This window comes from Homo sapiens, chromosome 10, assembly GCF_000001405.40.
Source record: "Homo sapiens chromosome 10, GRCh38.p14 Primary Assembly".
NCBI lineage: Eukaryota > Metazoa > Chordata > Mammalia > Primates > Hominidae > Homo > Homo sapiens.
The window spans coordinates 100,155,936-100,183,192 of record NC_000010.11 but is presented as its reverse complement, the minus strand read 5'-3'; the positions used below and the strand labels follow the sequence as shown (position 1 = coordinate 100,183,192).

The 27,257-nt window shown below is 36.7% G+C and overlaps 1 protein-coding gene across 14 annotated transcripts in view, besides 3 other annotated features; it reads left to right on the top strand.

Moving 5' to 3' along the window:
* Positions 1-27,257, top strand: part of ERLIN1 (ER lipid raft associated 1) — a 35,936-nt gene that overhangs the window by 2,837 nt on the left and 5,842 nt on the right. For 7 of the 14 annotated variants that reach the window (NM_001347857.2, NM_001347856.2, NM_001100626.2 and 4 more), the window contains 7 exons: positions 3,946-3,992; positions 4,999-5,060; positions 7,123-7,248; positions 8,912-8,985; positions 15,787-15,845; positions 19,098-19,189; positions 26,959-27,048. In NM_001347857.2, coding sequence (NP_001334786.1) covers positions 3,946-3,992; positions 4,999-5,060; positions 7,123-7,248; positions 8,912-8,985; positions 15,787-15,845; positions 19,098-19,189; positions 26,959-27,048 — 550 coding nt within the window. Of the gene's footprint in view, positions 1-3,945; positions 3,993-4,998; positions 5,061-7,122; positions 7,249-8,911; positions 8,986-15,786; positions 15,846-19,097; positions 19,190-24,137; positions 24,210-26,958; positions 27,049-27,257 lie in introns of all 14 variants that reach the window. The other 7 variants (NR_144755.2, NR_144758.2, NR_144759.2 and 4 more) reach the window with 4 other exon arrangements.
* Positions 7,968-8,037: an enhancer, noted in NCBI's record as "active region_3882". NCBI's record gives its function as "activates an Ori minimal core promoter by ATAC-STARR-seq in GM12878 lymphoblastoid cells {active_cell/tissue: GM12878}" and the evidence as "EXISTENCE:reporter gene assay evidence [ECO:0000049][PMID:35858748]".
* Positions 24,785-24,834: a silencer, noted in NCBI's record as "silent region_2702". NCBI's record gives its function as "represses an Ori minimal core promoter by ATAC-STARR-seq in GM12878 lymphoblastoid cells {active_cell/tissue: GM12878}" and the evidence as "EXISTENCE:reporter gene assay evidence [ECO:0000049][PMID:35858748]".
* Positions 26,891-26,940: an enhancer, noted in NCBI's record as "active region_3881". NCBI's record gives its function as "activates an Ori minimal core promoter by ATAC-STARR-seq in GM12878 lymphoblastoid cells {active_cell/tissue: GM12878}" and the evidence as "EXISTENCE:reporter gene assay evidence [ECO:0000049][PMID:35858748]".

Sequence of the window (27,257 nt, the reverse complement as noted above, 5' to 3'; positions counted from 1 at the left end):
AAGTATCTTTCAATGTAACAAGATGACAAAACCAGGATTAGGCTGTGACCACTTTCGCAAGCCCAGTGTGATCATAAATCTTTGGATTCAGAAGTTTGTCTGCCATCTGCTGCTAATTTTTCAGGACTCAGGAAAATTCTGTGTTATTTAATCTTGTAATCTTATGTCTAGGCTTCCTGCTAAGTGAGAGTTTAATTATAAATTCTTAAATCCCCTAGGTTTTCTTCCTGTCCCCTTTTAGATGGCTTAGGGAAAGAATTGTGTCTACTGAAGTGAAATGTATTCTTCCCCTAATCAGACTGATTTCCATATGTTGTTCCATATTTATTTTACCCATTCTTTCCTTAGTTCATGCCATCACTTCTTTATCTGCCATCTCACTCTCCATTCCTTTTCTCCTGTCTAAATCTTGCCAGGCTTTTAAAGGCTCATCCCAGATTCTTCCTCTTCTGATCTATAGCTCTTAAAGTCTATATTGTAAATTTTGGCCCTTTGTCTTATTTTCTTTAATATTGTTGTCTTGCATTGTTTGCTAAGTTTTTTTATGTGTTTTCTTTCCAGAAAGGCTCCAGTTTTCTTAAAGGCAGGAGTTGTAACACATTTATATTTCTGGCTTTCTATTTATGGTGGAAGTTGTTAAATTGAGCTGATTTCTCAGGAAGCAATGTGGTGTAATGAACATGGGGACCCAGCGTTACCGCCAGTTGGTGGCATGACTTTGGAAAAATTGCTTAACTGTCATAGACTTCAGTTAGTCTTCTGTGAAAGGAGGAATTTTAATTACATAACCTCATCAACAGCCGAAACAATCTATAATAATGTTAGCAATGGCAGCATTAGACCCTTAAAAATCAAGACTCTAAGGCCCGGCGCAGTGGCTCATGCCTGTAATCCGAGCACTTTGGGAGGCTGAAGCAGGTGGATCACTTGAGCCTAGGAGTTTGAGACCAGCCTGGGCAACATGGGGAAACTCCGTCTCTTAAAAAAAAAAAAAAAAAAAAATCAAGGCTCTAACAAATAGATCTTGTTCAAAACCAGGTAGATCTGTCTCTGCCTTCATGCTTAGTATGTTAAGTCATACTGATGCAAAAATATAAATAAAGGAGATATAGATAATAGTAAACAGATTTTGGAGTTTAATTGTGTATATATATAACAAATATAGTGTGTGTATATATTTAATAATAAACTATCATAAGAGATGTAAATGAAATTAGTACAGAGACTTCAGTGTAAACTAAAATACTTCGCATCTACAAAAAAGTTTTACATGGGCTAGAGCCAGCCAGTGTGACTAAATAGGAATGTTCTTTATGTGTAAAACGGTAACATTCTAGGAAATAATTATATTAATAAAACCATATTTAAAAAGTGTTCTTGGCCGGGCGTGGCGGCTCACGCCTGTAATCCCAGCACTTTGGGAGGCCGAGGCAGGCAGATCACTTGAGGTCAGGAGTTCAAGACCAGCCTGGCCAACCTGGTCAAACGCTGTGTCTACAAAAATACAAAAATTAGCTGGGCGTGGTTGTGCGTGCCTGTAATCCCAGCTATTTGGGAGGCTGAGGCAGGAGAATCGCTTGAACCTGGGAGACCGAGGTTGCAGTGAGCCGAGATCGTACCCTTGCACTCCAGCCTGGGCAACAGAGGAAGACTCCGTCTCAAAAAAAAAAAAAAAAAAAGAGTGTTCTTAAGAGAGTAAGACATAAATTTATTTTTAGGAATTTTTGGAACATATTAGAAGACATAGTCCAGATAAACAAATGGTTTAACAAACTTGGCAATTGAAAGGAATGTATATAAATGTGAAATTCCATATATGATGTAAAAAGAAAAAGCAATGGAGAAATTATATGAAAACCTTCAGCCTTCATAAAGTAACCATAGATTCACTTTTTAAATAAATTTTCTGTCATACTGGGAAAGTAATTTTTAAGAGGACATAAAAGAAATATAAAAGTACATAAAGATAGGGTGTTAAATGGAAGATTTAACATTTGAACCCTTTCCTAGTTCTTCTGAGTTTGAAAATTGGCTAGAGAATATCCTTTTGGTTTAAATAGGAACGTGTATTTAAAGTTGGTGTGGAATATGGAAACTGAATTAATGTTATAAAGGAAATAAATATAATTTGTCTCTTCATCAATCCCCTTAACCTAGAACTGCCACCAATGTTTACTGTCATTCTAATGTCTCAACCTAAGAGTTATTTTTTATTCTTTCCCCTCCTGGAATTTTATATCAACCAAGTATCAGATACCTCCTCTATTATGTCTGGATTGACAGCTTTCATGGCCTTTACTGAATTAATCTAAATAAATTAATTATTTAGCCTCCCAGCTGGTTTTCTTACCTCCCTATAAGATGGAGAATGAGAACTACATCACATGTGAGAAAAGGAATTAAGTAAACATATTTTTGAATGGTTCGTTTTGTGACTGTATATAAGGTGAACTAGAGAGATCCCAAACTCCCCAGCCAGCATTCAGGGCCCTCTGTCTAGTATTACCATGGTCTCTTGTCAGAATTTCATCTTTCATCCAAATTGTCCCTTCTGCTCCAGGCAAGCCTATCTACTTTCGTTCGCCTATACACATGTTGTCTTCAACTGTGTGTATTTCAGTAGGATATTTATTGAGCTTAAGATGTTCCTCTGCCTCATCTGTTCTTATTTCTCCCACTCTAGACCTGGCTTATAAATCCTTCACCTCAGAGAGCTTTTCAAACTACTATTTTTTTCACTTTCTGTAATTTACCACTTAACAGTTCAGTTTATAATTTGTGTTTTTGGTTTTGTTTTGTTTTGTTTTGTACCTGTTGATGGATTGATTGCATTGTAACATTTTGTCTCCTGTGCTGGATTGTGAACTCTTTGGAAACAGGGACTGTGATTCCTTTTTCCTTTGCTTTGTGCTTGATAAGATGCAGTATGTCTAGAATGTACTCATTAGGTGCTGACCTATTTGAGGCCTTAGAGTACAGCAGGAAGTCATTCATTCTGGATCTGAACAAAGGTGTGACAAGGGCAAAGCAATTAAGTACCAGATTGTTGGTTCACCAGGAGGAAGCAGTACTGGTGGTAGCACTTCTATTAAAAAGGAAACTGAATAGGACATGTGAGAGATCACTAGGTATTAAACTAAAATGTTGACCACAGCTTTAGAGAAGAAAGGTTGCTGTTGGATTCAAGGGCAGCTTTGAGTCTTAGAGTACTTGTATGCATAAAATCTCTTTTATCTTCAACATAAATAGTAATATTAGCAGTGGAATCAAAGTTCAGAGTGCAAGTTGTAGCCAGAGTATCTATGTGAGCAAGCTGTGTTGTTTACAACCCCTGGCCAGCTCCAGGCAGGTAAGGGACTCTGGAAGAGTTTTCTACTTATTAGCAGACTGAACATTGAACCTTTCCCAGTGAATCTTAATTCAAACATTCGCTGTAGGCCAGGCACAGTGGCTCACGCCTGTAATCCCAGCACTTTGGGAGGCCAAGGTGGGTGGATCACTTGAGGCCAGGAGTTCAAGACCAGCCTGGCCAACATGGTGAAACCTCATCTTTACTAAAAATACAAAAATTAGCTGAGCGTAGTGGTGCATACCTGTAATCCCAGCTACTTGGGAGGCTGGGGCACAAGAACCGCCTGAACCCAGGAGGCAGAGGTTGCAGTGAGCCAAGATTGCACCACTGCATTCCAGCCTGGGTGACAAAGCAAGACTCTGTCTCCAAAAAAAAAAAAAAATTGCTGTAAAATATTTTCTGTCTCAAGTCTTTCATTTCTACTAGAATACAAAAAGAAATGACTGTTCTGAGAGCTAATCTTTGGGAACTGAAATTGTGATGGATCTCTGCTGTACTTACTGTCAGCAGCTTTCCAGAGATTTGCCTCTGGTACCAGTAGTTTTTTGACAATGTGTGTCTTGAGTGTTGATGAGATATCTTTTCCTCCCTAGACAACACTACAAACTGATGAAGTTAAAAATGTGCCTTGTGGAACAAGGTAAGCTTTCTCTTTGCCTACGAGCCTCCCTTTAGCTCAGACAGAGTTTCTGTTCCTACAGCTATGATCACTTAGACATATCTCAAATAGGCATGATAGTTAACCCAAGGGGACTTCTGATCTGAGCATTGTTTGAGCAAAGGCCTATCTCCAAATAGGAGCTTTTCCATCTTAAGAACCATTATTGTTCTTATGGTATTATTGGAAAAAACTGGAGTTTTAGAGCAAGTAGACCTAACTGTGTATTAGCACTGCTGCATCTGCTTTATTGACTATTTTTTAAAGACTTTATTTTTTACAGCAGTTTTAGGTTCATAGTGAAATTGACCAAAAAGTACAGACAGTTTTTATATACCTCTTTCCCCAACACATTCCTTTATTGACACTTTAAAGCTTAGTTTCCTCCTTTATAAAGGCAGTAAAATCTACCTTGCAGAGTTGTTGTAAGGATTAGAATTACTGTATATGAAGTGCCTAACCAGAACTTGGCCCAGAATAGGTGCTTAATAAAACATAGTTTAAAATTAATCATCCCACCGTCTTCTCATCTGTAGTGTTAAATGCCATCTAATTTAGAGTTTCTGATTCAATAGGTCTGGGGTGAGGCCCGAGAATTTGCATTTCTAACAAAAGTTCCTGGGTGATGCTGATACTGCTGGTCTGAAGACCTCACTTTGAGAATTGCTGTCCTAAAGAGGTTTAGGGAAAGAAAGGCAAGCAGGGCCCAAATTATTTCTAGGGTATAATCACTGCATTGAATTGTATCAAAAGAAGAATGTGAAGTTCAAGGTATTTTTTAAATTACTTATTTTAAATGACTATTACAAGTGTAAAAAAGACATTGACATCTATAGAGGGACAGAAATGCTATGAAAAAGGAAGCGAACTCTTTCTGTGTTTTAAGTGAATATTAGTATGTTTCATTATCAGCTTCTCCCCAGGTCTATCTATAACTGTGTTTTATGGATTGCCTTTAGTAGTTCACACTTTTTTTCTTTGTTTTTAGTGGTGGGGTCATGATCTATATTGACCGAATAGAAGTGGTTAATATGTTGGCTCCTTATGCAGGTATGTTACCCATCTACCTGTGGTTTTTATAGTTATAGCCAGAGGATTTATAGCTGAGAGATTCTTTGAGGAATAGAAGGGTACTTTGAAAGTTTTATGACTTCATTGATCACTGATTAATAAATTTCTGGGGAATAGAGGCAAAAATAGGTCAGAAGTTCTGGACAGAGTTGACTTTCTGCAACTGTATGAGTTACTCTTCTCTGAGCTTAGTGTTTCTAAGAGCAAAATGGTCATTGGTTATTTCTAGAATAGGAAAGTAGTATTTTATCCAGTCAGGATGAGAGATAATTTCCTTGGGTGTTAGAAATCTGTAACTGATCAATTCCTTGGCCCACACTGATTTGCCATCAAAGAGAAGTATTTTCTAGTTGAGATTTGCTATAATTTGCAAAGCAGTCTGAAAGCCTTCAACGTGGGGAAAGCATTTTCTTGATAAAAGATGAAAACCTACAGGTATGGGGTGGGTAGGTACTGTTGTAATCAAAAACTTAATTAGAAGCCCTGAAGAAAGATATACCGTCTTATATGCATGCTTGTTAATAAAACTGGCATGTCTAGTATGTACAGAATATTGTGTTTGGCAAGAATAATTTGAAAAGATGAAATTACAGCCTTTGCCTTCAGGGGTTTTAATTTTACTTGAGAAGACATAATACAGAGCTAAAAAAGGATATATTGGGATGTAAGGTCATAATAAATTTCACATAACCGGTACAGGCACAAATAGTGAAAAGATTTCAGAGTAGAGAGCAGGCGTATTACTGTCAAGGGCATTTGGATTATATTTTTCAGAGAGTAAGCATTTTCCTTGTCTTTTTTTCCTCTCCTTTCCTTGATTACAAATCACTGGAATGGATTATGATTGAAAAAGGGAAGGGACTGATGATTCTTTAACCAGAGATTAAATAGGAAACTATTTAGATATAATTCATTTGGGAAATGATCAAGCAAATGATTTAGTCATTAAGTATTTATTAATGGCCTGTCCATTAATTTTTTTTCTTTTTTGAGATGGAGTCTTGTTCTGTCACCCAGGCTGGAGTGCAGTGGCATGATCTCAGCTCAGTGCAACCTCTGCCTTTTGGGTTCATGCAATTCTCCTGCCTCAGCCTCCCTAGTAGCTGGGACTACAGGTGTATGCCTCCACACCAGGCTAATTTTTGTATTTTTAGTAGAGACAGTGTTTCACCATGTTGGCCAGGCTGGTCTTGAACTCCTGACTCAAATGATCCACCCACCTCAGCCTCCCAAAGTGCTGGGATTACAGGCATGAGCCACCGCGCCCAGTCGGATTTGAAATCCAGTTGCATCTAATATCCCACATGGGAAGGCCAGTGGAGCAAATTCTTGGATCTGAAGACAGAAGTAGAAAGCAGCATGTTTTTGTAGATAAAGAACAGGTTCTGACGTGGTCTAGTATGTACCTTTTGGGCATTTCTAAAATTCTCTGTTTCTTAGTTTCCTAATATGCAAATTTAGGAGAATTCAGTGCTAATTTATGTAAATTACCTGATATAAAGCCCAGCTCAGTTAATGTTTTAACAACTTTAAAAAATTGCCTTTTTAAAAACGGTCTTTTGCAACTGCTTTCTTCTTTTATTTCTACTGTTCCTCAGTTTGCCTAGTCTCTCTTTACCTCTTAGCTAAACTTTTGCAGTAATTGCCTTATGCTTTCCCTGCCTCTGATCTTTATGCTTCTCAGTTCATCTTCACACTGCTGGCCAAAGCGTAAATCTGACTGTCATGCCCTTGCTTGAAACCTTTGATAGTTCCTTATTACCTCCAAAATAATGGATACTTTAGTGTGGACTTTAAAGTTAGCCCCTGTTTGATGGGCTAACCAGCAGGTGTTTGGCATTAGTATTACAAATGCAAGGGTATTTGGAAAATTGAGCACAAGCAACACATCAAGATTTGTTAGTTGTGGTTTTTGGTTTCACTATTTTGTTGGCACTTTTCCTCATGTGTAATATATCACCCTGACTTTTACCCTGGCTGAATTTGAAGGTACCTGTGTCATTGTTGGGTAAAACAAACATGGGTTGTACCTCTCCTTCAGTGTTTGATATCGTGAGGAACTATACTGCAGATTATGACAAGACCTTAATCTTCAATAAAATCCACCATGAGCTGAACCAGTTCTGCAGTGCCCACACACTTCAGGAAGTTTACATTGAATTGTTTGGTAAGTGTCTTAATTCTTATGTATGTAAATAGCCAATTGGAAATCTTTGTTCAGCTTACTTATTGAGGTTATATTGGTAAACCTTAGTGCTATTTAAGCATTTCTTCTGAATTTATCATAGAGCAATTGTCTTTAAAATATTTTTTATCTTAAGTTTAAAATTTTTTATATAACTTGTTAGAGATTGGAAAAACTACTCAGACTGTATTCTGTTTTTACTGTAATAACTTAGTGAAAATTAGCTTTGTTGATGTTTTAATAGATAATTTGAAAAATTTAGAAACCTGTGTCTTGAGGCTCCCATTTTTGATGATTTGGTAGGAGACTGACAGGACTCAGCACATAGTTGTGTTCACAGCTAAGATTTATTACAGCCAAAGGGTACAAAGCAAAATCAGCGAGAGGCAAAGGCACACCAGCAAAATGCAGAGGAAAGCAGGTGCAGGCTTCCAAGAGTCAAACATGTGCCTAATTCCCACAGCAACAAGCTGTGACAACACATGTGAAATGTTGTCTACTAGGGAAGCTCATTGGAGACTCATTGCCCAGGGTTTTCACTGGGGGCTGATTATGTAGGCACCCTCTGCCTACCACATAAAAATTCCAGACTCCTGGAAGGAATGCAGGTGTTTGGCATAAGCCACATTGTATAAACAGTTCACAGCAAGTCAATTGTATTAGCTCTGGGGATAGTGGGACCCTTCTACAAATCCAAGTTCCTAGGTGCCAACCAAGGACGAGTTTACAAAAGGCCTTTCTAAGGATTGCAGTATCAGCCCTGCTTTCTTAACTCACTTCTGTACAACTTACTTTTCATTTATGATAGTGGAAGTTCTGACCAGGGAATGAGTTGTTGCTGTTGGTAGCTCACTTTTCCCTCCTGAAATTTTTAGTGAATTTCTAAGATGAAGGAATAAGCAAGAGTAATCAATTTAAAATCTACCAATTGAGTCCTCTTTGGTGATTGTCAACCACTGAAGTGGCATGTGAGGAAACTGATGGGTCCTGCTTTGTCTCACCACCAGTCATTTAAATAGCGAAAGTACCATTGAGGTGAATAGAAAGTGCATAGTTACAAGCCCAAGTGTTCATGCTGTGTATATTTCAAATACTTTTCTATGAGCTTCTCTCTCTGTCTCTCTCTCTCTCTCTCTTTAAATCCAAAATAACAGTGAGGCTGAGATCCATGGAAATGAAGTTTAGTTATTTGGGAATTTGAGTAAAGATTTACTGAACATAGAAATTTGTTTTTCTTTGAGAATGAGGATACATATTGAGTAAGAGCCCTGAATTAAGATACTAGAGATCCAGATTCTCCATTTATTAGATCAACATATTTTACCCAGTAGTTGTTTATCCAGTAAATAAGTCTAATAAGTTACCCAGTAAAAAAGCTTATCCATAGTTAAGTAATACATTTAGTGGGTAAACTTATTGGATAAACAGACTATCTGCTTGTCATCTTCGTTCCTTAATTTCTTTATTAGATAATTCCTTGCAATTTTTTTCCCACACAAAAGGGAAGAAAAGGCAGTTTAAGCTCTGTAAAAGAATAGTACTGTGGAAACTTTAGGTCTAATAATGATTAGTTTTGTTTCATTATGAATACAATGTAAAAAAAATTGACTATCATGAGATCTGTTGTTCTTGGCTTAAAAAACAGATCAAATAGATGAAAACCTGAAGCAAGCTCTGCAGAAAGACTTAAACCTCATGGCCCCAGGTCTCACTATACAGGTAAGTTCTTTTCCTAGGGAAGTTCTCTGGGGATTTTGAGAGCTTTGAGTTTGTTCCTCCTTTCATTGGATTGTTTTATTCAGCAATTATTTGAGATGCTATGGTGATTTATAGAATACCTTTCTCAATTTGACTTTAGATCTCTGCCAAAATAAAATACTCTTGTAGCTTACTATGGGTGACATTTGTGAACTCCTAGAGGGAACTGATAAGCTGAGGCTCTTACAAGGAAGTAAAATTCATATTTCTGCCATGTATGAAGCATTAAGATACAGTAATGGTTATAAATCAGTGTAAGCATAATCCCTGCCCTCAGTAAGATTATGAAAAGGGAGTTCAAGTGTAAAATTTGAACAATCCTGGACAAAATAGTTATCACAAAGTATTAATTGACAGATGAATCTATTGAATGATTATTGCTGTAAGAGTAAGAGAACATTGGAAGACAGTGTGTCTAGGAGAGGGCTGTGATTGAGTTGAGATTTTAAGTAGGTTTGGAAAAATTAATTGGATTTAAATGGGGGAAGAATGAGAAAGGTATTTCAAGTGGGAGGGACAGCCCTAGTAAAAACAAGGTAGCAGGTGAATTTAGTGGTAGTGGTGATGGTGACGTTGGGAAATAGAATGGTGAGAGGTTTTACCCCTGCTTTTTTTTGGGTCACTGTGTTTTCCAGATTGTGGGTTGTAAAATCAACTTTAGTGAGTCATGAACAGCATTTTAAATAAAATGGAATAGAATAGGAAAAGAAATGGTATGTAATAAGTTTAAATATTCTGTGACACTTGTGTTTCACAGTGTGGCGGGGTAGGTGTTTATATTGGACGTCAGTGCAAAATGTGTTTCTTACTGTGTCCACTGTCAGTAACATTCGAAAGCCACTGCTCTGGATCCAGATGACCTAAGAAGTTATATTGAGGCTTCTCTAGTGTCCTTTCTCAGGAGCTCTAGGAGACCAGTTGATTGTTGATTGTTGTGATGAACATTACTGCAACTAAAGCTTATCACATGTCTCTCAATTCTTTACACTCAGCACCACTGCTACTGAGAGTGTGCGCTCACTGTGATTGTATGTGTTCGTGCTTCTCAAAAACAAGACTGAAAGATAGGTGGGGTTTTCCTCATGGCCTCATTCATGCAATGTCATTATCTCAGGCGCTTGAGGGTGAGCCACCAGAGTTAAGGGGTCGTTTGAAATGTCCAGAGGTAACTTTGTAAAATCCTCTGAGTTGTTCAAGTCAGTTGTAGCTGGAGTAGCTTTTTAGTTTTAAAGATAGTGAATGTGAAGGTCAGCTCTTAGATTCTGCCCAGGGTGTTACTCAGAGATCTAGCTCATTCAACTGTTGTTTAGAATTCCTTGCCTTATATTACTTAGCCATTTTTCTGTTCCCAGTTTTTTGCTATTAAACAATAGTGTAATGAACATTCATGACACATGTTCTTGTATGTACAAATTATCTTTCAAACTGACTGTACAAATGTACATTCTTAACAGCAATATGTGCAAATAATTGTGACCCATGAACTCACCAACATTGGAAGCAATCAGACATACTGATTGTTACCATATGGATGGGTGGGCAATTATATCTCCCTTTGATTTGCATTCCTTTGGTTGTTAATGAGGTTGAACATCTTTTGATACATTTATTGGTCATTTATACTGTCTTCTGCTGATTGCCTATTCATATCTTTTGCCCATTTTTCTGTTGGATTGTTTTCTTTCTTACTGATTTGTTCTGTATAAATTTGGAATTTTTATACACACACGTTATTTATGTTGTAGAAAAAAGTTAGATACTAGGAAAATGATGAAGAATAAAATGAAATTCACCAGTAATCTTATTATGCAGGGATAACATCATTTGTTATATCTTTCTCGACTATTCTTAATGTATATGAACAAATGTTTGTAGATATAAATGCATACATGCTCAACTAAAGCAGAATCATACCATACTTGCTTTTTTCACTAACATTGTCTATGAACATCTTTCCAAAACAAAAATATAGGTTTGGTAAATCATTACTTTTAATGGTTATATTTAGTGAATCTCTATGGTTTCAAATTTTTTACTACTGTATGCATGTTGGAATGACCAAGCTTATATATTCTGTACATCTTTTTAAATCCCTCTCTTACAATAAATTCTTGAAGTGGGATTGATGATCAAAGTGTATGCCCTGTTTGGGGGCTTATTGATACATACTACCGAATCACCTTTTAGAAAAATTTTAGCAGCTCCCCCCCTCATTAGCAGTGTTGGTAAGCTGTAGTTCTTACACATTTGATTGCATGATTGTACCCAAATAATTAGCAGATGCAAGCTTTCCCTTTCTCTCTTAATCCTTTTGGAGAAAATTAGTCTGTTATTTTGTGTTAATTATTGAAGTTGAATACCCTAGGTTATTAGCTGTTTTTATTTCATTTATAAATTGTTGGTTTTGCTCATTTTTGTAGTTAATGGTTTTTCTAACTGATTTTAATAAGCTATTTTTGGCTGGGCATAGCGGCTCACATCTGTAATCCCACCACTTTAGGAGGCTGAGGTGGAAAGCTCCCTTGAGCCCAGGAGTTTGAGGTCAGCTTGGACAACATAGTGAGACCCCTTCTCCACAAAAAATTTTTTTAAAAAATTAGGTAGGTGTGGTGGCATGTGCCTGTAGTCCCAGCTACTTGGGAGGCTGAGGTGGGAGGATGACTTGAACACAGCAGGTTGAGGCTGCAGTGAACTGTGTTCATGCTGTACTCTTGTCTGGGCAACAGAGCAAAACCCTGTCTATAAATAAATAAATAAATAGCATTTGTATATAGAGAACTTGTTTTTGAACCTTACCCTTTGAGAGGGGTAGAATTCGTTTTTAAAAATAAACTTTTTCATATGTTAGTTATTGTAGCTCTTTTTTATATTTATAGGAAACATTTTCTTCAAATTTTTTCTTTGTCATTTAACTTTGTTTTTTCCTTGCTGATAACTTTGAAGTGTTCATGTTTTACATAGTAATTTCAGTGATTTTGTCTTTATGGTGTGTTGCTGAGCTGGCATGTTTTAAGAGCTTTTCACCACCTTAAAAGTATAGCAATTAAAATTAGAAATTATAAAAATTGTATCTGCTTTTACAGTTGTATTCTTAGATTTAAATCTTTTAATTCATCTGCAACCCATTTTGATCTCAGTTGCAAGGTAGGCCTTCAGCTCCATCCCCTCAACCCCAAATTGGGTAACAGCGGTAATTACTGAATAGTTTATTTTTCCATCTTCCCCCTTCTTTGAAATAGTTTTTATGTTACATACTGCATTCCATTATATACTAGAGTCTTTTTCTGAACTTAGTTCTGTTCCATTGATCTTCCCATTCCTACTCTTTCATTAGTTATTGAGTCCTTGGTCTTTTCTCATCAAATCGAATTTTCTCCTGTGTTTTTCATCTTGTCAGTTAATGGTAACTCTTTCCCCTCAAGCCAATCTAGAAGTGTAGGAGGCATCTTTGACAATCGCCTCACCCTCAGCATCTAATCAGTCCCTATGTCCTGCAGATTCCACCACCAAAATCCATGTATTAATAAAACTGACCACACCTCCATCTTCACTGTCATCTCAAGCCAAGCTACCAACTCTAACCTTGACATGTGCAGTAGCAGTAGCCGCCTGTCTTCTTTCCCCACTTTCACTTTTACCTTTGTCTACTTCATTTTCTGCACAACAGCCAGAAGGATCTTTTGAATTTACTTATATTTATTTGCTGTTTTTATAAAAAGTTATTGATTGAAAAAATGTAGTTTTGTTATACGTTCTTAAAGTGGTAGAGATCTCCATTGTTTTAGGGTTTAAAAAAATTTTAAAATAATTTTTATATTTTGCAATAACTTAAGCATACCCTGAGAAGAGAAGAGCTCCTTTGCTTTGGTTGCTTTTGTCTTGTTATAAAATTTTTTTTACAATAGTTGGAATGCATTTTAAGAATTTCAAGGCTGTTTTTGAGCTTTGTTATTTTTAACACATTACCATATGGTTGTGATAATTCAACTTTTTATTTTAAAATCTGGCAAGAGACATCATCTTTTAAAAAATAATGGCCTTTGCTGTTTCTGCCAGCTTAATCTTCCAGATGAGTTTTCATTATCGATATTTTCAAGCTATATCAGGCACCTAAGTGGTCATATACATGTTGTTTTGTTTTGTTTTGTTTTGAGACAGGGTCTCCCTCTGTTGCCCAGGCTGGAGTGCAGTGGCATGATCATAGGTCACTGCAGCCTTGAACTCCTGGGCTCAAGTGATTCTCCTGCCTTAGCCTCCCAAGTAGCTAGGAGTACAGGTACACACCCCCACATCTGGCTAATTTTTTTATTTTTTGTAGAGATGGGCCTTTGCCGTGTTGCCCAGGCTGGTCTCAAACTCCTGGCCTCATGCAATCCTCCAATATAAGTTAAAAATAGAAACATAGTTTATGGCTTTACTTTATCATATCAGCCTTTTTGGTTTTTAGAATTTCTGATTTAGGGGAGAAACTCATATCCTAAGTTAAATTAATACCAATGGATTTAATGAATTTTAATGCTGTTCAATATGTAGTCTTTTTTTTTTTTAATCATTGAGGAATGTGATTGATTCTTGGTAGATTTATCTTATATCTACAACTTGAATTCACTGCCTTCTAGTAATTTTTGGGTTACTATTTTTACAGTCACTATTATATTTTTTTCCTTTCCATATATTTATATACCATTTTTCTTCTTGAAAAACTACTCTGGCAAATTAGAATGATGAAAATGGTCATCTTTGATTTTTTTTTTCCTATGTTATTTAAGGGAGTGACTATATTATAGACTGGCTTTTGATATATAATATATGCTTAAAACCCAGGGGTCAGTTTCAATACATATATTCCTTTCATTAGCCATTTTTTTCCTCCATTCACTCTATGTATGTGAGTGGGATGGGGGCATTATTTTATTATTTGAGGTTAAGAGCAGAGGTTTAATAGGCAAAAGAAACAGAAAGGAGAATAGCTCTCTCTCCTGTGAGGGAGAGGGGTGCCTGAGTGGGACTTCCCACTTTTACTTTTAAAATCTCTTTTGATGCAACTTACTCATGGTATCTGTACAGTAAGTGTTTATGTTTTCACATATTTGAAAATCTGTGAGATTTCCCAAGATTGGCAAGCACAATGTAGTATGTTCTTCAGCCTCATTCAGCAAAATAGGAGTCTTCAAAAGACAGTCCTGGCCGAGTGTGGTGGCTCACGCCTGTAATCCCAGCACTTTGGGAGGCCGAGGTGGTTGGATCACCTGAGTTCAGGAGTTCGAGACCAGCTTGACCAACACAGTGAAACCCTGTCTCTACTAAAAAACAATACAAAAATTAGTCGGGCTTGGTGGCGCATGCCTGTAATCCCAGCAACTAAGGAGGCTGAGGCAGAAGAATCGCTTGAACCTGGGAGGCGGAGGTTGCAGTGAACTGAGATTGCACCACCGCACTCCAGCCTGGGTAACAAGAGCAAAACTCCATCTCAAAAAAAAAAAAAAAAGTCCTACTTTACGCTTCTTTTAATAAGGCTAAAAAGATATGTGGCCAGTCTCTTAATTAAATGCAGTATGACAGTGCTTCCTTGAATCATATTAATCCATATTGGAAGTAATCTTATGTCTGCTAGTCACATGGTGAAATCTGACATCTCACAAAATCTGGTCCTGAATTTTTATTTGTCTTCTGCATGTCTCCACTGAGTTGTGAGGCCTCACATGTGTCACTGCCAGTGTGTTGTGAGTTTTTTCCACACAGCCTTCAGCTGCTTATTCCATTCCACTGTAATCCTTATATTTAGTTATGATTGTCCTCAAAATTACCTACAAATTTGACTCATCTATTTCATATAGGAAATGCTATATCGCTTAAAAGTTTTAAAAGCCTTTAAAGAAGACTAAGTGCTTAAAGGCTTTGTTATTCTTAAAAGGTTAGCCAGTTTTCAGAAGGAAAACTTCTTCAGACCAGCAAAGTGTTTTTTGTGTGTGTTTGCAGTATAGGTGGGGCGGCGGGGTATCGTATGTTTAGTAAAATCAAAAGCTTTTGAGAGATCAAGTCCTTGATGTAGAAAAGTCAGCCTTCAAAAAACAGTACTGTCCAGGTAGATAATCTTAATTGTGTCAAAGAACACTATGATTAGGGAAACAAAGTGTCTGGTAAACAGCCTCTACAAAGACAGACTTTGTTCTAAGTGAGAGTTAAGGAAGAAAGAATATAAGCTTTTAATTGATATTTGTTTTCCTTCAGCCAGTGGGCTGTTTACTTACAGCAAATACCAAGTGATTGCAGGGGTTGGAAGTGATAGATTAATTTACTCACTACTCACTGTATTAAATTGTATACACCAACCTGGGTTTTTTTGTTTGTTTTTGTATTTGACTAATTGTTTCTGACTTTACAATTTCAGTCTTGGAACTTTGCCTTCCCGGCTTCTTTGGTTTACAGGGTTGAAAAAGAAAGCAAAAGTATCTAACGACCTTTGTAAAACATCTTTTAAGTGAGAACCTTTTTCATAAGGCAGTTGTTTCCTCAGTGGGTAGATGGTTTTTCCTGTAATCTGGCATTGTGTAAGGAAATAAGAAGCAGCTTGTCTTTGATTCTTGGTGTGATGGCATGAAAAGTAAATGTTCTGGTGGGATCCCCAAACGTGTTAGTAGGCCGCTATATTATAGCTGTTGTTTATTAGATTAGTATCATTTGAGGGGCTTTTCTGTAGAAGATTTAATTTGAAGATTTATCTTTCAAATATACTTTGGCTTTTTCACTTTTATTTTTTAGGCTGTGCGTGTTACAAAACCCAAAATCCCAGAAGCCATAAGAAGAAATTTTGAGTTAATGTGAGTAATATGCATGGGATCCCAATATTTCTGTTTAGGGCTGTCTGCATATTAATATTCCAGTCTAGAGGAAACATGTGAGACAATACACTCTGGGGTGGAGTATGTGTCTTATCTTCTTTACTCTTACTCTAGTAATATTGCCTATTCTTGTGTCTTAATTCCCACTAGACTCTTACTAGTGTTCTCTTTATGTATGGACATTTCAGGAGCAGTTTCAGTGGCTAAAGATGCAGTTTGCTGTAAAACTATTGCTGGAAGCTTAAGGAGCTATAATTTTATATGAATAGTACCTTGAATTAAATATTTAATAGAGGAAAGAGTCCTGAAGCCGTTAGGGTTGAAGAGAGTGCTCATATTTTGTTTCTGTGTTGTAATGGTAGGAATAGATACCTTGTTGGTATAAAGTTTGGTTTTCCATTGTATGTGATTGTATATCTAAAATTAGACCTGGTTCTTTATAATGTGCCTCTAGGGAAGCCTTGCTTCTGTTGACTCCTGGTAGTCTTCTCTTTTATGTATCCAGGGCTGACTGGGAATGAGAAGACATGAAATTAGTTTCTGACAGGATCCCTTTTAGGGGAATACTTACTGTGTTTGAAATGGCAATATTGTTTTCGTATGACTGGTACTGAAAAGAAGAAATAAAAGTCTTTAGGAAATTTGGCTGATGTGTTAAAAGGGAAAGTATAAGACGCTGGAAAAATAAATTTGCACAAGTCAAGGATACCACAGATGTATAAATACTGGAAGTCCAAGGAGCAGTAATACTACTTTATGAGGTTGTTTACTTCTGAGTCCTTTTTGTTACCATGCAGATTTTTATTGTTTTTTTCTTCTTTTATATTTTCCTTTTCCCTCATACCTTCTCTGAGCTCATACAGAGTTTTATTTCTCTTTTTCTTAATTTTTTTTTTTTTGAGACAAGGTCTTGCTCTGTTGCCCAGACTGCAGTGCAGTGGCACAATCACGGCTCACTGCAGTCTCAACCTCCCAGGCTCAAGTGATTAAGCGATCCTCCCACCTCAGCCTCCTGAGTAGTTGGGACTACCAGTGCATGCCACCACACCTAGCTAAATTTTGTATTTTTCATAGAGACGGAGTTTTGCCCTGTTGCCCAGCCTGGTCTCAAACTCCTGGGCTCAAGCAGTCCTCCTGCCTTGGCCTCCCAAAGTACTGGGATTACAGGCTTGAGTCACCACACCCAGCCTGTTTTCTCTTTTTCATTGTAGACAAAGAACTCTTCTTTTAAAAGTATAAAATGTAGACTGCCAGGCTGGGTAGATTATGGATGTGATCCACTTATTGAAAAAATATTTATAGGCGGGCTGTGGTGGCTTATGCCTATAATCATAGCACTTCAGGAGGCTGAGGCCGGCGGATCACCTGAGTTCAAGAGTTTGAGACCAGCCTGGCCAACATGGTGAAACCCTGTCTCCAGTAAAAATAGAAAAATTAGCTGGACATGGTGGCAGGCACCTATAATCCCAGCTACTGGGGAGGCTGAGGTAGGAGAGTCGCTTCAACCGGGGAGGTAGAGGTTGCAGTGAGCCGAGACCACGCCATTGCACTCCAACCTGGGCAAAAGAACGAAACTCTGTCTCAAAAAGAAAATTTTATTAAACTGTCAGCATGTCTTAGGCTTTAAATATGATTGCTTAGGCTGGGTGCGGTGGCTCATGCCTGTAATCCCAGCACTTTTGGGAGGCCAAGGTGGGCGGATCACGAGGTCAGGAGATCGAGACCATCCTAGCTAACACAATGAAACCCCGTCTCTACTAAAAATACAAAAAATTAGCCAGGCATGGTGGTGGGCGCCTGTAGTCCCAGCTACTCGGGAGGCTGAGGCAGGAGAATGGCGTGAACTCAGGAGGCGAAGCTTGCAGTGAGTCGAGATAGTGCCACTGCACTCCAGCCTGGGTGACAGAGTGAGACTCCATCTCAAAAAAAAAAAAAAAAAAAGATTGCTTCTGGTGACGGAAAAATGAATATTGTGTGTTTTCTGCTCTCAAATAAATCATAGTATTCAGACTGTCATTTGATGTCTTTATCAATGTTATCAGAGGAAAGGGGAAACTTTGAGGGGAAGTGTTTTGGGGAAACTATTGGAGTTACTTTTCAGATGATTCTGGATCTTTCTTAATTTTATGGACTATTGGAATTCCAGAATTAAAAGCTACCTTGGGATGATCCAGTATAACCTTGCACCTGATAGTAGTGTTTTCTTATACCATTTCTGCCACGTGGTTACCCAGTAGCTACTTGTACATGCTTAGTAATATGCCAGCCATTTCCATTACAGGTTTAGTACCCCTTATCCGAAATGCTTGGGACCAGAAGTATTTTAAATTTTGGATTTGTAAAGATTCTGGAATATTTGCATAGACATAATGAGATATCTCAGGGATGGGACCCAGGTCTAAATATAAAATTTATTTATGTTCTTCCTTGTTGGTATAGTGGTTAGTTTTTTTTTTTTAAGGTATTTTATTTATGTCCCATATACACCTATAGCCTGAAGGTAACTTTATAAAATATTTTAAATAATTTTGTGCATGAAACAAAGTTTACCTTAAGTGCTTATGTGTGGAATTTTCCACTTGTGTCATAATGTGGGCTCTCAAAAAGTTTCAGATTTTGGAGCATTTTGGATTTCAAATTTTCAGATCAGAAATGCTCAACCTGTATTAGACACTGGAAGCCTTAGAAAATTCTCCTTACTGTAAGCCCCAGTTTACTACCTAATAACTACCACCTAGTTATATCTTCTGTGCAACAAATATGGTCACTGCACATGGGTGCCCACCTGAGGAGGGCAGGGGCTGAAACCCAGCTTCATTCTGCATGTCAAACCATGCACCTGCAGGACTGTAGAAACGGCTGGTGCCGTTTTCTAATTGGCACAGAGCTGCTGTATGGACTAGCTGGAGGTCTAACAGCAAAGGAAGTATTGATATATTCCCTTCCAAATCACAGGCTTTACACAATACAACTAGGAGAAGAAAGCCAAACTAAAATTCAAATGTACTAAATTTTTTTCCTATCTCTGGGTGACTTTGGGCAAATCATTGAATCTTTCAACCTCAGATTTATTATAAGTAAAATAAAGTAACACCTCTCTTAACCTACCTTAATGGGTCCAAAAGCTCATGTTGACAAAACGGTTCTCTGACTCACTGTAGGGTCAGAATTACTGGCTGTGACTGCACATAGGAGAATCATTTCTAATTTTTATAACATTTTGCTTCACAGGGAGGCTGAGAAGACAAAACTCCTTATAGCTGCACAGAAACAAAAGGTTGTGGAAAAAGAAGCTGAGACAGAGAGGAAAAAGGCAGTTATAGGTACTTGGATTTCTCTGAAATGATTGTCTCTAAGTACATTTGTTTGTCCTGTTCTTTGTCAGTCTCATTTTGGGTATCATGGGACTCAGTAAGATTGCATCATAGGTAGTGGGGAATTCTGGAATCTCCACTGTACATTCAGATGTTCTAAAGCCTTTAAAAGTAGGTGAGACCAGTACTTAATGATGTGCTGTGGCTGTCCATCATGTTGTTAGATGCTACTGTTGTCTCTTTCAAGAACAGGGAGAATGGATAGGGTTTATAGGCAGCTTGAGTCTGTGGATAGCATTTTCATTTGTACAGATTAAGAATAGGGAAGTTTTTTGACCAAAGTTTCAGATTGTAGTATGCATCCTTGTTGTTGACATGCACTTAGTTTTACCTGGATAGGTAGTGCCGTTTATGAAAGCATGGCAGGATTGTTTACAGTTCATTTCAGATTACAGTGGCTTCCCTTATACTCCAGGTCACTGTGTATTAGATTGCCCTCTTTGGCCCTCGGTTGATGCTGAAAGTTTAATACATCTTTAATTAAATAATTCAATTATAGAGGAATGTACAGAGAACAATATAATGAAAGCTTAAGATTTTGCCTTATTCCCTTCAGATCTTTTTTTTTTTTTTTAAGAAAAAAATTAAATATCTGTTTGAAGCCTCCTTTGTATGTTCACTGGTCCTACTCTTTGACTTTTCTTCTCAGATTAACTTCTATTCTGAAGTTGATGTATATCCTTTCTGTCCATATTTTTATACTTTTACTGTAAGTGTGTAAGAGTTTATAAAATTGTTTTACCTGTTTGAAACTACAAAAATGTTACCAAACTCTTATTTTACAACTTGCCTTATTTTCACTAACATTGAGTTTTATTCATATTGATACATGTAGATCTAGGGATTTTTTCTTTTTTTGGCATTTTATCCTTATTCTCTGTGAGATGGTAGATCGTTTATGTTTAGCTGCTACATTTTTCGTTCTATGAGCGGGCCTAGTTTTATTGTAATGAATTACCAATGAGGAGTTAGGTAGTTTCTAGTTTTTCCTTATTACAAACACTGCCACAATAACATTCTTATCCAGTGCCTCCTGGATACAGTGTACATGTGCAGGTTTCCATAGAGTAGCATTACTCAGTGTATGGTGTGGGCCAGTGCCCTATCACCAGCTTTTTGTTTCTGAGCCTCAATGAGATGAGTATAGAAATTGAGAATGAGTGTTTAGAAGTTTTTATAGCATTTTAATACAGCAGTTTTATGTCTGTTGAATCAAAAATAAAAAATCAGAGCTTATATATTTATGTTTTTGTTTTTTAATTTCTTTTTTCTAGTACTGTAATTTGTTTTTGTTATAGTTTACAATTTATTGGTTCCTCATAAATTGAAATACACACACAAAAAGGTAAGGTATTTTTCCACAGGTGGTTTGAGAAGCACTGCTCTAGAATAGCTATCTCAAAGTAGAATTGATGGGTCATAGGGTAGCATGTCTTCACATTCAACATATTGACAAATTGCTCTCTCAAGTACTTCTTTGATTTTACCATCTCTTCAACAATATTTGATATCCAGTTTCTATGCTGCCATATTTGAATTCCCATTTCCACACATCCTTCTTGGTCCTTGGAGTTATCAGACTTAAAACTTTATGTCTGTTTAATGGAAGACATGGTATCACATAATTTCAATTTGAATTTCCCTGATTGTTAGTAAAGTTGAATATTGCTTATTGGTCATTCAAGTTTCCTTTTTTGTTGTTGTTATATGAATTGCCTGTTAATGTCCTTAGCCCATTATTTGATTGCTTTTTTGAGTTGATTTGTAAGAGTCCTTTCTGTCTCCTGGATACTGATCCTTTTTCAGATTTATGCATTTCCAACATCTTTCAATTTGTGGCTTGTCTTTGAACTTTACAATGTCTTCGATATACATATATGTGTAGTTTTTGTGTAGACAAATTCATTAGTCTTTTCCTTTATGTTTTGTGCTTTTCCTATCTTAAGAATTCTTTCCCTAGTCCAAAGTAAGACTTTTATTCTAAAAGTTTTAAAGTTTTGCTTTTCATATTTAAGTCTTTAGCCCATCTAGAATTTATTTTGGTGTTGAGTATGACATAGGGATTCAGTTTAATTTTTTCAAGTGGCAAGCCAATTGTCTCAGACTGTTTATTGAATAGTTTATTATTTCCTCTACTTATTTCTAATGCCATATCCATCATATAATAAGATACTATACATAATTTATTCTGATGCCATAATCTATTATTTTCCAATTTTTTGGTCTCTCCTTCCTCAATATTAATTTGTTTTAATTATTGTAGCTTTTATGTTAAGTCTTGCGATGTGGAGAGTGAGTTGTGTAACTATTTCTCTTACCTGTTAACTATTCCTAACTATATTTAAAATTATCCTGGACTATTCTAGGCCCTTTATTCATCCACATGAATTTTAGAACCAGCTCCTTAAGTTTTGTGAAATATTGTGTTGGGATTTTGATTGGAATTGCATTGAATGTATGCATCAATTTGGAGAAAATTATGATATTGAGTCTTATAAATCTGTTTCTCCATTTAGGAGAGTTGTCTTTTAAAAAGTGTCATAATTTTCTTCTAAAGTTCTTGCACATTTATTAAAGATTTGTTCTTATATACCTTTATTTTTTTATTGACTTTTTTAAAGGCACATTTTCTAATGGGTTTTGTATAAGTATGCTGTTGATTTTTTTATTTAGCAATATTGCTGAAGATGCTCTTATTTCTAATAGTCGCTTAGATTTCCCATGAACAATCATATGGTCTTCAGACAATAGGTCCTTATCTTCACATAAGGACAATTTTATTTTTCTTCTAAGTCACATACTTTTTATTTCTTCCTGTCTTACTGCTTTAGGCTATGACTTCTAAGTACAGTGTAGAAAAGAAAGTGACAAGTATTCTTGTCCTTAACTTTAAATAGTCCCAGTGACATTTGCTGTACTTAACACTGGTTAATAAAGTTTCAATCTGTACTTTGCTTGCTGAGAGCTTTCATTTTGAATGGCTGTTAAAACTTTCAGAATTTTTTTGAGACAGGGTCTCGCTTTGCCACCCAGGCTGGAGTACAGTGGTGTAATCACAGTTCACTGCAGCCTCAGCCTCCTAGGCTTAAGTTATTTTCCCACCTCAGCCTCTCGAGTAGCTGAGACTACAAGTGCACGCCACCACACCCAGGTAATTTTTGTATTTTCTGTAGAGACAGGGTTTCACCATGTTGCCCAGGCTGGTCTTGAATTCCTGAGTTCAAGTGATCCACCTGCCTCAGTCTTCCAAAGTGCTAGGATTACAGGTGTGAGCCACTGTGCCCAGTCTGAAAATTTTTTCTACATATATTGAGATGTTTTTAAAGCTGTTAATATGGTAAATTATATTAACAGATTTATCTTTGTGTTTCTGGGACAAACAATCCACTTGGTCATTATATAGGTCATTATATACATTTTTATATAGTTTGCTGATAATTTCTTTAGAATTTTTACCTTTATTTTCATAAATGAGATCAGCTTATAATTTTCTTATACTTTTAGTGTTAGGTTTTTTTGTATCATGGTTATACTATCCCCAAGATGAGTTGAAGAGCATGGCTTCCTTTTCTGTGTTCTATTGTATATCACATCATTATGTATCAGATCTGTATAATTTCATCTTTGTAGGTCTGGTGGAACTCGTAAAAGCCATCTTAGTCTTGTGAGGTTTCTGCTTTTTTTCATTTGCTTTTTGTGGTAACAGTTAATCTATTGATTTAATTCCTGTATTGAGTATAGGTATATTCAGATACATGTTTTCTTTTTAAGCCAGTTTTGGTAATTATATTTTCATAGAAAATTGTTCATTTCATCTGATATTTCAAATTTTGGGGCATAAATTTGTTCGTAGAATTCTCTCATGATTTTTAAAACCTCTACCAAATCTGTGTGCCCCTTTTCATTGCTAATACTGTTTTCTTGTGCCTTTTCTTTTGCTGTATCAATTTTGCCAGAGGTCTGTTTTATTTTATTTATCTTTTCAGAGAATTGGCTTTTGTTTTGGTTTTGTTGATTGTTACTTTGTTTAAATTATATTATTTACACTTTTTAAAAAATATTTCCTTCCATCTTTTTTTTTTTTTTAGTTCATTTGTTCTTTTTTAACTTCTTGAGTTGGATAGTTAAGTTTAAGTCTTTTCTAGTGGAAACATGGAAGATTATAAATTTTCTTCTAAGGATTGCTTTAGCTATGTTTCACAGGTTTTGAAATGTACTTTGTATATTGGTGTTCAGTTTTAATTCTAAACCTTTTCCTTCTAATTTCTTCTTTGGCTCATGAATTATTAAAAGTATATGCTTCAATTTCTGGTTTAGTGGGTTTTGAGGGGCTACCTTTTTATTGTTGATTTCCAGTGTTACTACATTGTAGTCAGAAAATAAGACCTGTTATATGGATTCTTAAATATTTATTGAAAATTGCTTTGTGGCCTACCTGTACACGGTCCTTTTTTGTAAATGTCTGTGTGCTTGAAAAGATTGAATCTGTGTTCTCTGGTTGTTGGATGCAGGTTTCTTTATATACTCATTTGGTCAGGCTTATGAATTGTGTTGTTCACATCTTCTGTATTCTTCTAATTTTTGCCTTCTTGACCTATCAATTACTGAGAAGGATGTGTTAAAATTTCCCACTATGACCATGGGTTTGTTGACTTGTAATTTTTTTCTTTATATATTTTGGGACTATATCATTAAGAACATTCAGGTTCAGGATTGTTATATCTCCCTGGAGAATTGCTTCTGTTTTGTAATAATCTTTATCCCTAGATATGTTTTTAACTTAAGAGCTATTTTGCCTGATAATATAGCTATACCAGATTTTTCTTGGTTAGTTATTTTCTTGGTGTACCTTTTCCCATTCTTTTACTTTCAACTTTTCTATGTCATTATGTTTTAGGTGTGTCTCTTGTAAACAGCATATAGCTGGATTTTGTAATCTTATCCAATGTGAGAATCTGTCTTTTAACTGGTGAGTTTAGTCTTTTTATATTTATTGTGGTTACTGCTATATTTGGATGTGTTTGTATCATTTGATTATGTGCTATTTACCATGCATTTTTCTCTGCTTCTTTTTCCCTTTTCTGATTGGTATTGAATTGATTGAATTTTCTTTTCTTTTCTTCCTTTTACTTGATTGGAAGTTTTACATTCCATTGCTGGAATGTATAACTAGTTGTTAATCATTCTATCCTCTTCTTGAACAGTACCTTAGAATGCTTTAACTCTTATCACTGTCCTCCAGTCTTACATTTTATTATTGCGTAGTATTTTAGTTTCATGTTGTCTTTATCCTCCCATCAATTATGATCATTATGATTAATCCTTACAGTAAACACTTATTTTGATTGACATGTGTTGAGTAATGTTTTTTCCTCTCCATTGTTTCTGGTGATTTTTTTTTTCTAGTAATTTTTTTTTCAGTGAAGACTAAGGAGTGAAAGTTATCTTCGGTCCTCCTTGGTCTGAAAATGCTTTTATTTTATCCTTGAATGGTAATTTAGCCTACAATTCTAAACCAAGCTAATTTTTCCTTATCAATATGGCAGTATTATTTCAATTTTGTTTGGCTGCTTGCACCTATTTACAAGTATGTTGTTAGTCCAGTTGTTCCTTTTGAGTAATCAGCCTTTCTTCTCTTTTTGCTTTTAACATGTTTCTGTCTGTATTTGGGTGTTCTTCAGTTTCACTGTGATGTGGCTAGGTAGAGAAGAGGTTACTTCTTAACTGGGCTGGTTGGTAGAGTGTTTTAGTTCCCCTTTCATTAGAGTTGCAGCCCTCTAGAGGTCTCAGTTTTATGCAAGGGTCTTAGTCCTAATATCACAAGGCCTCATCTCCTGGTCTTGCATGGGTAAAAACCCAGGTCCCACTCCCTTCTTGTCTAATAACCACCCCAGGGACACCACCATACAGGCTCTCGGCTCCCCCTTGGCTTAAGTTACTTGAGGATCTCTCATTCTTTCTTACAACTCAGCCATGCATTAAAAAACAAATTTGCTATATTTCATCTAGCATTTTAAGAGGTTGTTAGCTAAAGGGTTTTCTCTCTGGCCTTTTGGCCTTTTGCACCATTTTTCTAGAAGTCTGGTCGTGCTTTTTATTGATTTATTCCCACATGACAGAGCTTTGTTGAATGAGATTACCACAACAGTCCCCCTATGTTGAGGTAACATCCTTTGGGTTCTAGCTGCAGGCTTCAGATCCCTCACCTTTTATTCATGTTTTATCTTGAGTTTCTGCTTACAGTTCAATTTCTAGCCCCATTGAACATAGTAGTTTAGTTTTTGGATGGTGTAATATAGATTGATTTTACATTGGTGGAGAAAGAGGGAATTATCTCCTGGAGCAGTTCGTAAAGCATACTGTTTTATGGAAAGAAAAAAATCACTTGGAAGTTTTCTTTCCATTATGTACTTTTTCTAGGGGTCAGAGATAAGATGTCCTAAAATACCCATCTTCTTTGACTGAAAAGGAGAATTGAGAATGTTCTTTAAGAATAGCAGTGATTGAATGTAAAGTGTAATTCAAGTCTTTCTTCCTTGTCCTGGGTCATTTGGGTAGGCCAGAGGTTTATTAAGGGTGTTGAGTTTCCTCTGCATGTACTTGCTTGCCACACCAACATGTTCACTCCCAATGCTTGTTTTCACCTTCTCAAATGAATCACCCTGCTTTCTGCTTTATTTCCCTACAGCAGTTGGAATACTCCTCTTCTGATACCATTTTCATCCTGTCATTTCCCTAATGGTAACTTAACAGTAGATCCTGAGTATAGTAAAACTAAGCTCCTTAGCCTGTCACTCAAGACAGAGGTCTCCTAGCCCTCTTTCTCTTCTTATTTTATGTTGTCTTCGCTTGTTGGCTGGTTCCATATCACCTCTCCATTGTGACTTGTTCATTTGTGCCTTCTTGTCTTTCTTTTTTTTGTTTTTGTTTTTGTTTTTGAGGCAGGGCCTCACTCTGTCACGCTGGCTGGAGTGCAGTGGCATGATCATGGCTCACTGTAGCCTTGACCTCCCAGGCTCAAGAGATCCTCTTGCCTCAGCCTCCTGTGTAGCTGGGACTATAGGCACGCACCATCATGCTTGGCTAATTTTATAAATTTTTTCTAGAGATGGAGGTCTCACTGTGTTGCTTAAGCTGGTCTTGAACTCTTGGGCTTAAGAGATCCTCCTGCCTCAGCCTCCCAAAGTGCTGGGGTTACAGGCGTGAATCACCATGACTGGCCCTTCTTGTCTTTCTCTGTGCTTCCTGGCATGTCTTCTTAGGTCATATCCATTATTTCCTTTAAGATTACTTCCAGAAGGTCTTCCTTGGTTTAACTTATGTCACTCATTCTTTCTTTCTCCTGCCACATTAATTGTCCTGTGTTGCCATGCATTTATGTTGCTCTGTTTTTGTTCTGTGGTACTTTCATAAAGTATCTTTTTTTCCCATTAGCTTGTGGACCGTTGCTACAGAGTTGCATGAAGGACTGGCACTTTAACCTTTTTTTACTCCTTCTTCCCACAAAACTAGCACTGTCAAAATAGAACAGTAAATTAGGAAATAAATTCCCTTTTTTCCTTTGAGTAGTTTACAGTCTGACTAGATAAAACTTAGTGAAACAATTAGCACATAAAACTTTCTGTAATTAAATGTTAGACTGTGTGCTGCTGGTTCGAAGTGCCTCAGGTACTGTAGAAATGGTTTTGAATGTGTCTTCTTATGTTGTATGATTATAGAAGCAGAGAAGATTGCACAAGTGGCAAAAATTCGGTTTCAGCAGAAAGTGATGGAAAAAGAAACTGAAAAGCGCATTTCTGAAATCGAAGGTACATTGTGGGGAGAGGATGAAGCTCTGCCTGTCCCGAACTGCCTCCTCTCTGCTCCAGGGTTCAGGCCTTTGATTGTGGTGGGTGAGAAGGCCATAGACAGAATAATCTGGTCTGGAGGAAATAGCTGGCCTGATAGTCTAAATAAATTTTTTTAAATTGCTATCACATTTCCAGCTTTTGGGTTTGTTTGTGACTGTGGGTAGCTC